Source organism: Homo sapiens, chromosome 5 (assembly GCF_000001405.40).
Source record: "Homo sapiens chromosome 5, GRCh38.p14 Primary Assembly".
Classification (NCBI taxonomy): domain Eukaryota; kingdom Metazoa; phylum Chordata; class Mammalia; order Primates; family Hominidae; genus Homo; species Homo sapiens.
In genome coordinates, this window is record NC_000005.10 from 174,511,666 (window position 1) to 174,522,400 (window position 10,735).

The window sequence follows — 10,735 nt, forward strand, 5'->3', positions numbered from 1 at the left end:
ATTAGGTTAGTCTGACTTTTCCAAACTTTCCTAATCAGAAGAATCACTGAGTCACACAGAAAAGGGGTTACAAATTGCTCTTAAATATGGGGAAAATGCTCAGTCTCATCATCATGAGGAAATGCACATTAGCTTGGTGGAGATAGCTAAAAGTTGATAACGTGGAGGGTGTGAGAGCAGCGGTGCGTCTCATCTGTTGCTGTGGAATGGGCATGGTTCCCGCCTCTCAGAAGCAATGTGGCAATACCACTCAAAACAACAAAGGCACAGGCTTTTGACCCAGTCAGGCCACTTCTAGGAATGTTTCTTAATCATGTACACATGTGAAGAGATGTAGGTACAAAATTGCTTCTTTCAGCATTGTTTGCATTGGCAGAGGATCAGAAACAACGTAAATGTCCATCAACAGGGGATTGATTAAATACACTATTGTTCATCTATACAATAGATTACTACACAGCCATTAAAAAATGTGAAGAGGGTAAATCTCTTGGTAAGTATTCTTGCTACAAACATGAAATGAAATAGAATACAATAAAATGAAATAAAAGAGAGCACTTTATCTAGTGGTGTGCTGGCAAATGTTTAACATCCAGTTCTCTAGCTGGGGAGGCTGGGGTGGGGTTCACTCTGACTGCAGCATTTGCTTGTGGTTTAGATACTTCCACCATGGTCAACTTCAAGCAACCAACATGAGGTCACTGAACTTGAACTTGAGAAAAGATTCATCTCTGTTGACTCTAGCCCATTACTGCCTTTATTAACTGATATGAAAAGATCTCCAAGATGTATTGAATAAAAGAAAAGGCAAAACACAGAACAGTATACATAGTAGGTATTATTAACATAAAAAAAGAGGAGAGGGTAAAAAATATATACGTATATAAATACTGGCCTGTGTATCACAGATTTCACTGGAAGAATACACACACAGACACACACACACACACACACACACAAGTACACACACAGAGAGCCACTAATTTTGTAATTGGGGATGGGAACCAAGAGGCTGGTGGTGGGGGGCAAAGTGGATGGAAATGCTTTATTATCACTCATGTATACTCTGTCAAAGATCTATGATATGAATGTCTCACATCTAAAAGATTGTTAAGACTGCCATGTATCACCTGGAAGATTTATTGAGTGCTAATTCCATGGCCTCTCCCAGGAGATTTTAACCTGACATCCTTGGTGTGATGCTGGAAAAATCAGTTTTTAACAGATTTCTCAGATGAGTCTTAAAATTAGGCAAATTTGAGTGGCACTGTCTAGCCCAACCTTTCCATTTGATGAGAAATGCAGTAAGTGTGGGGATTTTACATGGCCCACAGAGGGGAAGGGCCTGACCTCCAGGCACCAGGGGAGTCAGGGCTGAACCCAGGGCTGACACGCAGCCTCACCCCCTTGCCTGGGCCATGCCCCGTGCTTTCCAGGGCTGGAGCCTGGGCATGGTCTTACCTGCAGCACTGAGACCCAGAAAGAGATATGGCCTGTCTGGGCTCACACAGCCACTGCCCAGGAAAATTCTACCCAATATACACCCACAAGAACAATCCACAGGAGTTCTCTGCTCCTCCCGTTCGACAGACAGCCACATCTTCTCATGCATCACCAGCCGCATCCCTGAGACACCACGGTGAAGGTGAAGGCTGGAGTCAATGGATTTGGTCGTATTGAACACCTGGTAACCAAGCCTGCTTTTAACTCTGGTAAAGTGGATATTGTCACCATCAATGACCCCTTCGTTGACCTCAACAACATGGTCTACATGTTCCAGTATGATTCCACCCATGGCAAATTCTGTGGCACCGTCAAGGCTGAGAACAGGAAGCTTGTCGCCAGTGGAAATCCCATCACCGTCTTCCAGGGCGAGATCCCTCCAAAATCAAATGGGGTGATGCTGGTGCTCAGTACATTGCGGAGTCCACTTGTATCTTCACCACCATGGAGAAGGCTGGGGCTGACTTGCAGGGAGGAGCCAAAAGGGTCATCATCTCTGCCCCCTCTGCTGATGCCCCCATGTTCGTGATGGATGTGAACCACGAGAAGTATGACAACAGCCTCAAGATCGTCAGCAATGCCTCCTGCATCACCAACTGCTTAGCGCCCCTGGCCAACGTCATCCACAACTTTGGTATCGTGGAAGGACCCATGACCACAGTCCATGCTATCACTGCCACCCAGAAGATTGTGGATGGCCCCTCCGGGAAACTGGCATAACGGCCGTGGAGCTCTCCAGAACATCATCCCTGCCTCTACTGGCACTGCCAAAGCTGTGGGCAAGGTCATCCCTGAGCTGAACAGGAAGCTTACTGGCATGGGATTCTGTGTCCTCACTGCCAATGTGTTGGTCATGGACCTGACATGCCATCTGGAAAAACCTGCCAAATACAATGACATCAAGAAGGTAGTAAAGCAGGCATCCAACGCCCCCTCAAGGGCATCCTGGGCTACACGAGCACCAGGTGGTCTCCTCTGACTTCAACAGCGACACCCACACCTACTCTTCCACCTTCAATGCTGGGGCTGGCACTGCCCTCGATGGCCACTTTGTCAAGCTCGTTTCCTGGTATGACAATGAATTTGGCTACAGCAACAGGGTGGTGAACCTCAGGGCCCACATGGCCGCCAAGGAGTAAGACCCCCTGACCACCAGCCCCAGCGAGAGCACCAGAGGAAGAGAGAGACCCTCACTGCTGGGGAGTCCCTGCCACACTCAGTCCCCCACCACACTAACTAAGAATCACCCCTCCTCACAGTTTCCATGCAGACACCCTGAAGAGGGAGGGGCCTAGGGCGCCCCACCTTGTCATGTACCATCAATAAAGTCCCCTGTGCTCAGCCAAAAAAACAACAACGAAAAACAATCCACAGGTCTCCAATCTACATCCTGAGCAACTGGACTCAAACCCACTAGTCAATGTCAATCAAGGCTTTATCCTCAGAGGATCAGAGGACAACACTGCCCCAGCACCCTGGCAATCCCTTCAGATGAATGACCTGGGACAGGGCAGAAGACCCTTTTGTGTGAGCTCTGGCATGTAAAGTATCGTCTCTTACCTTGCCGGCATTCGTCGCCAGCTGCTGTCTCACAAAGATGAGAGGTGAGCTGGGGAGGGGATAGAGAAAAGAAAAAGAAAGAAACAAAAGCCGTTTCTCCCCAAGTGCTTTGCCATTGATAGCTGATATGCTTGGCTGCCATTCAGTCCCTCGCTGTCTCCTGTGTCTCTGTACCTGCCTTTTGCACACATAATTAATTGTGTGTTTTCAAAAATGGCACATCATTCCTCCATATACAACAACAAACTCAGTCCAGAGACAAATTGAATCAAGTTCTCTGGGTGTTTTTTTTTCTCACTTCAATTAACACGAAGACTGGCATATATCAGAGGTGCAAATCTCCTAGCGTTATGTGACCACAAGCAGGGATGCAGCAGAATGTACACCCCCAATTATGTCTTTAAGTGCTCATTGGAGACACTTGTAATCATGTTTTATTACTGGTCTCCTCCCCAGCATAATGAACTTTGATGAAATAATGAAACAGCCCTGGCGCCTGAGCAGTCAGGCTGGCGGCCTTGCCAGCTAAGACCTCCCATGAGTACAATAGCCTGAGCGGGGCGCCCGGCTCCAGTGGCAATGGGGCGGAAAACCTGGCTCCCCGCCCTCAGCTCCCCGCCTCCTGGCTGCTGGGCCTGCCCCTCTGAGTCAAAAAAATGCCACAGCCAATTGGAAATGGGGAGCAGGCCAGGAAAGCTGGGGCTCACAGAGCCTCAGAACAGAAGTACTGGACAGGAGTTAGGTGGAGGACATCTCTTCCAACCCACCTTGTCAAGATGGGGAAACTGAGTCCCAGAGAGGGAAAATATTCTCACTGAGGCCACGCAGTGGCAGAGAAGGGACTCAAAGAGGGGACTCGAAAGACCTCTCCAAATCCTAGGTATTTCTTTAGTCTCTACAGGATTCTCTTACCCAGTGTCTCCCAGCCCCAAAGAAGCTTTGAGAAATCTCAGATTCCATGGTCCCACCCAGGAAATACTAATTCAGTAGGCCTATGGGCAAAGCCAGGCATCTGTGCTTCCCAAGCAATTCTGAACATCAGCAGATGTGGTTGAGAAGTTGAGATTGACAGGAAGTTTAAAGTCCTCCTGGATGAAGGTTGCTATTTCTCCTTGCAACTAAAAGTAGGGGCACAGCCTAGCAGCACTGGCATCCCCAGGAGGTCCTCAATCAGAATTCTGCATCTTGGCATGCTCTCCAGCTTGAGGAGCACTGCTATATCCCCTCAGTGCATCCCAGAGGGTCTCCTGAGGATCTGACTCCATCATGATAGATAACCAACACCTTTCTGCAGAGAGCCTGGGCAATAACACCGTCTGCCATGAGCCCAGATGCTGACGCCCCACAAAGAGCCGATATTATCCCCATTTTGCAGTTGAAGGAACCAGGGCTGAAGAACTGACTTGAAACTTAAAATCCAAGGCCTTCCACGGCTTCTTTTTTCCCCCTCCTAAGCCCCCTTCCCTGTTGTATATGTATAGATAGGAAAAGATAACACATATAAAATCTCAGCTACAAGTTGTGTTTTCTAGCTGATTTGTCTAGATGCCTTTTGAGGAAAATCCCAAAGCTTCTCTGGTATTGGGATTGTATAAATTTATTACTTTAAAAGCTCATATAGAAGGTTGGACGCAGTGACTCACCCCTGTAATCCCAGCACTTTGGGAGGCCAAGGTGGGAAGATTGCTTGAGTCTAGGAGTTTGTGACCCGATCTCAAAAGAAAAAGCACAAAATGCAGATAAAAGTGTTTAAACCTCCTTGGGAAAGAAACTATTTATTTGTGTTACATTGTCTATAAGTTATTTTTAAATGCATTATAAGTAGTGTGATGCATATATGTTAATTTTTTATTTTATAAATAACTGTATTGCACATTTTACACATCATTCACTTGTTTCAAGTGCACAATTCAATGACATTTTAGTACATCTACAAAGTTGCATACCATCACAGTAAATCAATTTGGGAACATTTCCATCACCCCAATAATATCCCTCATGCATATTTACTGCAATCCCTCACCCCCATCCCAGGTAACCCCAATTTTCTTTCTGTCTCTATAGATTCCATTTTTCTGGACATCCCATCTGAATGGAGTGGTTGGTCTCTTATGTCTGGCCTCTTTCACTGAAGAGTCTTGTTTCTGAGGTTCATCCATGTGGTTGCTTGTATCTGTGATTCATTCATTTTTATTCCTGTATAGTATTCTGTTGTATGGATATACCACATTTTGTCTTTCCATTATATGTGAATTAATTTTATCTACACCCAGAAGTAGTGAAAATTCGAAGGACCTTTATTAGGAATCCATGTCCACAGGGTCTTCAAATATCCAGTTGCTTATCTAGAATAAAGAATGTTGGAGATCATTTTTCTTTGGTGAAATGAGTGTTGCCCAAGAACTGAAGGGGGGCAGATAGACTGTACAGACACTGAGGTCCTCTCTGTCTGGTGCATTTCCAGCCACCTGGTTGTACTATGAGGTCAGTTAAATTTGCCATGAGAATATGCTGCATACACTGTGGAGTGAATCTTTCCAGAAAAATACTTCTCATGACAGACAGCTAGGACTTCACTTATTTTATAGGCACTCATAACTGTTTGTGTCTGTTTGTTATTAAGTGAAATCCTCCCCCCACCCATTTGCTAACATATGTCGTACATGTAGCAAAATTCAATCTGTGACTCATTTTCCTTATACCCTACTATCCAGTAGTGAAGCTGTGGAGGGAGAAATACATAGTTCCCACCTCCCCAATCTCCCCCCGATATTTACCAAAAGAAACTTGTAATTGGTGAATGGTCAGATTGTCTTAGATCAGTTTGCAACACTTCCAAAATTATGCATTGCATCCTTCAGTACTGGGTTCCAGATACGTAAGTGTGGAAGACTTTACTACCACCAGCCTTTGACGTTTGGCATGGCCATGTGACTGGTTCTGGCCAAGGAGTTGTGAGGTGAAGTGACAGGTGTCACTTCCATTCCAAAGAAGTTCATTGCTGGTCTCAACACTCCACCCCTCCTGTAGTGAGCCCTGAAGCATGGCATTGAGAAGCTGCCTAAGAAGGAGGCAGATCCATCAGCCTGGGTGCCCGACTGATTACCCTGAGCAGAGCTCCCCAGCCCACCTGTGATGGACGCATGGAGCTTGAGCAAGGAATAAATATTCGTTGCTGTAAGTCACTGGGACTGGGAGGTTGCTTGTGGTTGTAGCATAATTCAGCCTGTCCTGCTTGACTGCAAAAGTAAGCACATTCAAGCATGGCCCTCGACTCAGAATTGCCAGTCAAGTGGGGAAGTTCAGCCTTAATTAGACCATAAAAACAAAAATAAAAAGAACAATTGCAAACTGATTGCAAACTGATGATAATGCATGGTCTGGGTAAGTCAGAGAAAAATCAAATTCAAGTGAGAACCCGCAAAGAGATGGTGGTTTCTCTGGCAGAAGCAACACCAATGCAATGGCCCGGGAGCGCAAAGACCCTGTGGGGTGTTCATCCACCAATCACCGGGTGCCTCTGCCCTTCCAGCCCCACTAAAGTGAGGAAACAAGGGCCGTAGGAGAAGCCACATCTGCCTGAGACCCCTGCTGTCTGGGGTCCTGGGTGCCTGGGCTCTAGACTGTCCACTCCCTTTGAGCAGCTCATGGCCTGAGAGGTGGCCCCAAAGCCCTCGCACATCTAGTCCCGCAGGATCCTGCTCCTGCAAGTTTTCACTGAGGGAACTCTGCCAATGTAATAGTTTTAACTGCAACAGAAAGTTGTTATACATATATGATAATAATAGTACTTTTAATAATAGTACTTTTCTTTGTGCTTTCAAGTTTACAAAGCACTTCCATCTATTTAAAAAACTTTTGCAGTATTAAATACCCTCCAGCAGCTTCCTAGCTTGTTTAGAATAAAATGCACATTCCTGAGCATGACGCAGGAGGCCCTGCTTCCCCTCCCCCCCCGCCATGTGGGCTCTGCTTCCCCACCGCCATGTCCTCCGCTAAGACAGGGCTGCCTTGCTGTTCCTCACCCCACCCGCCTACCCCATGCATCCACCCAGAGCCTTCCTACGACATCCATTCCGTACACATTGCAGGATGCCCTTTGCTCTTCTCCTTTGGCTCAAACCTCATTTCTTCAAAGAGATGTTTCCTTGCCATGAAATTAAGTTATTCCCCCATTCCAATAGCCCTCTCTACAAATCCCCTATTGCATCATTTTCATCACAGTTGCCACCATTTAGTGTGAATCATTTATTTCTTGATTGGTTGCTTCCCTGACAGAGCTGGGAAATAATGAAGACTTATTTGTTTATTTATTTTTGAGATGGAGTCTTGCTCTGTTGCCCAGGCTGGAGTACAGTGGCAAGATCTCAGCTTACTCCATGCAACCTCCGCCTCCTGGGTTCAAGCAAGTATCCTGCCTCAGCCTCCCGAGTAGCTGGGATTACAGGTGCCCGCAACCACGCCCGGCTAATTTTTGTAATTTTAATAGAGACGCGGTTTTGCCATGTTGACCAGGCTGGTCTCGAACTCCTGACCTCAAGTGATCCACCTGCCCCAGCCTCCCAAAGTGCTGGGATTACAGGCATGAGCCACTGCACCCAGCCAGAGATTTATTCTTATAAACTCAATGCCTAGGATAGCTCATTGGACTGTCACCCTTTGAGGGATATATTTATTTCCATTTTTGCTTGTGGAGAAAGTGGAGTGAAGAAGTTTGAGCAAGGTCCTAGGGCTAACAGTAGAGCGGAAGTGATTCCAGATCTTGCAGCCCCTGAGCCTGTGGCTTTTCCCCACCCAGCCAAGTCAAGCCAAGCCAAGTCTTGCCATCCAGTGTGCTTCTGTGTCACAGAGAACAGCAGACAGCCACATTGCAAGGGGGCTGATGAACTAACTAATTCACACTCAAAGGTGAGTGTCTAAAGGTCGCTTTTCTGCAGCCCTTCCCAGGAGGAACTGGGATTTTAACAAAGGAGTGAGAGGAGCAGCGTGGGCCTCAGCATAGAGGACTTTAAGCCTAGTTCTGACAAAGTCACTTTCAAAGTGAGGGTCATTGTTACCTGGGAGCCATTTCATGGGACTTTAATCAGTGCCCAGGTCAGAGCAGTGACATCCTGGCCTGTCCCCGAAAAGCCTGGGTGGCCTCAAGGCCCAGACTGCTCACCCACCAAAGGCCTCCAATTTAGACTCCTCAGCAAACACAACACCTGTGTCACATGGATTATACGAAGAGGACGCCCACTTCAAAGTTTTCATTCAGCATCCCCCATCCGGATCACACTTCATATTTCCAAAAAGAAAGCTACTCCTTTTCTTACGCATAGTACAACTTGATTACACTGTAATATTCTTGGCTATTAGCATGCATTGTAAATTATTATCACCGTATTTGTAACTCTGATTTGGCATCTCTTCACTTTTTAATATGCCCAGGCTCTTAAAAAGTCACTCCTTTTCTGCAAGGACCAAAAAGAAAATGGAAAAGTGGAATATGAAATGATTTGGGGTGCCCCCTTTTAGTCTTTGTGAAAAATCCCTGGGCATCTGGAGTGAGAAATGAGCATGCATTTTATAGAGGGGCGGTCAGGCAGGCCCCACCCAAGAAGGGCTTGTTTTACATCACAGGGGACCAAGGGCCAGGATTAGAACCCGGCCTCACTCGAACCCTTTCAAGGATCTTTGAAATCTCTTTCTTACAGTCCTGAGAACCCCACTGCGGATGAGAACAAACGTTTGTTCGGCTGACCCTTTCTCAGATCCCGCCCACTGAGAAGTGACAGTCCCTCCTCTCCCCGCCTCTCCCTGACCCCCAGCTCTCCGCGGCGGGATCTGAGCCCTCTCCTGCTGGACTTGTGGTACTTGCTGAACAATCTCGTGTTGTTGTCTGCCCGCTGGGAGAGAACACTGATAAGAGAGGCGATTAGGTGACTAAATCTGCTGGCTGCCCTTACACAATGCCAGCAGGTAACTCATTTGAAGCTTAATGGCTGGATTTAGTCATAAAGGAGGCCTGCAGAGGGAGTGATGTCAGAAGTGCAGGAGATTGGAGGCGGAATCAGGGCTTCCAACCGATAGATGGAAAGAGATTGTCAGCAAGATGTAGAAATGTGTTTGTGTGTAAGAACACAGCACATTGTGCACCTTCACATATGTGTGTAAGAGAGAGAGAACCAAAGAACCCAAGGGCTGAAAAAGCCTTGGTGATTCTAGTTCCAGCTACCTTATTTTATAGATGGGGAAACTGAGGAAAGGGCTTGTGCAAGATCCGGCTTCTGGGAGTCCTGTTCTCTATCACAGCAGGAAGTGGAATTATTCTGGTATTATTTACTTGCCACTTTTCATCTCCAGGAGTCATAGCCATTTTTATCTCTCCCTGTGTATCTGTTTGCCCCTGGGGGTAGCACTGTGCCTGAGGTCTGGCTGCTGAGAAATGAAACACTCCTAATGTGCGGATGGAGGCACAGTCACCGCAGGGCCAGGCAGTAAGATGCATCATTGAATAGGGAAGCCCATAGGGTGTGCAGCGTTTGGGAATGGTGGGGACTGTGGCTTGCACGCAAGAATACACTCGGTTTCAGAGGGACAGCTGCCACTTAGTGCCAGGCAGATTTAGCCTTGGAAAATGCAAACCCAGTTTTGCTAGACCTTAGGAATTTCAAAAGAATCTTGTTCAAGTGAGGAACAAGATTTTTTTTTCTAGGCAAAGTCTCTGATTTTTTTTAATGTAGGTAAATGTTTAAATGCTTTGTTTTTCAATACTTTGGATCAATCAACACATCTGCAGTCAGGATGGGGCCCATAGCCCTCAGCTGGTGACCACTGATCATTTTATCGATGGGAACACTGAAGTCCAGAAAGAAGAACCAAAACTTGGGTCTCATGCTTCCCTGTACTGGGGAATTTTTTTCTACTGCATTGCACAGTATGTGTGTGTGTATGTGTGTGTGTGAGAGAGAGAGAGAGAGAAGAAAGAGAGAGTGTATGTGTGTGAGAGAGAGAAGAAAGACAGAGAGACAGTGTGTGTGTGTGTGTGAGAGAGAGAAGAAAGAGAGACAGTGTGTGTGTGAGAGAGAGAAGAAAGACAGAGAGACAGAGTGTGTGTGTGTGTGTGAGAGAGAGAGAAGAAAGAGAGACAGTGTGTGTGTGAGAGAGAGAAGAAAGAGAGACAGCGTGTGTGTGTGAGAGAGAGAGAGAGAGAAGACAGAGAGACAGAGTGTGTGTGTGAGAGAAGAAAGACAGAGAGACAGAGTGTGTGTGTGTGTATGTGAGAGAGAAGACAGAGTGTGTGTGTGTGTGAGAGAGAGAAGAAAGAGAGACAGAGTGTGTGTGTGTGTGAGAGAGAGAAGACAGAGAGACAGAGTGTGTGTGTGTGAGAGAGAGAGAGAAGACAGAGAGACAGAGTGTGTGTGTGTGTGTGTGTGAGAGAAGAAAGACAGAGAGACAGAGAGAGTGTGTGTGTGTGTGTGTGAGAAAGAAGACAGTGTGTGTGTGTGTGTGAGAGAGAAGAAAGAGAGACAGAGTGTGTGTGTGAGAGAGACAGAGAGAGAAGACAGACAGTGTGTGTGTGTGTGAGAGAGAGAGAGAGAAGACAGAGAGACAGAGTGTGTGTGTGTGTGAGAGAGAGAGAAGAAAGAGAGACAGAGTGTGTGCATGTGTGTGTGAGAGAGAAGAAAGA

At 46.7% G+C, this 10,735-nt stretch overlaps 1 long non-coding RNA gene and 1 pseudogene across 1 annotated transcript in view; both read left to right on the forward strand.

The window, feature by feature from the left end:
- The window catches only part of LINC01411 (long intergenic non-protein coding RNA 1411), a 190,786-nt gene that overhangs the window by 175,312 nt on the left and 4,739 nt on the right, over positions 1–10,735 (forward strand). Inside the window, exon 3 of the long non-coding RNA NR_125806.1 lies at positions 6,094–6,240. This is a non-coding gene — a long non-coding RNA (long intergenic non-protein coding RNA 1411). The remainder of the gene's footprint in view (positions 1–6,093; positions 6,241–10,735) is intronic.
- Positions 1,568–2,848, forward strand: GAPDHP71 (glyceraldehyde-3-phosphate dehydrogenase pseudogene 71; annotated as a pseudogene).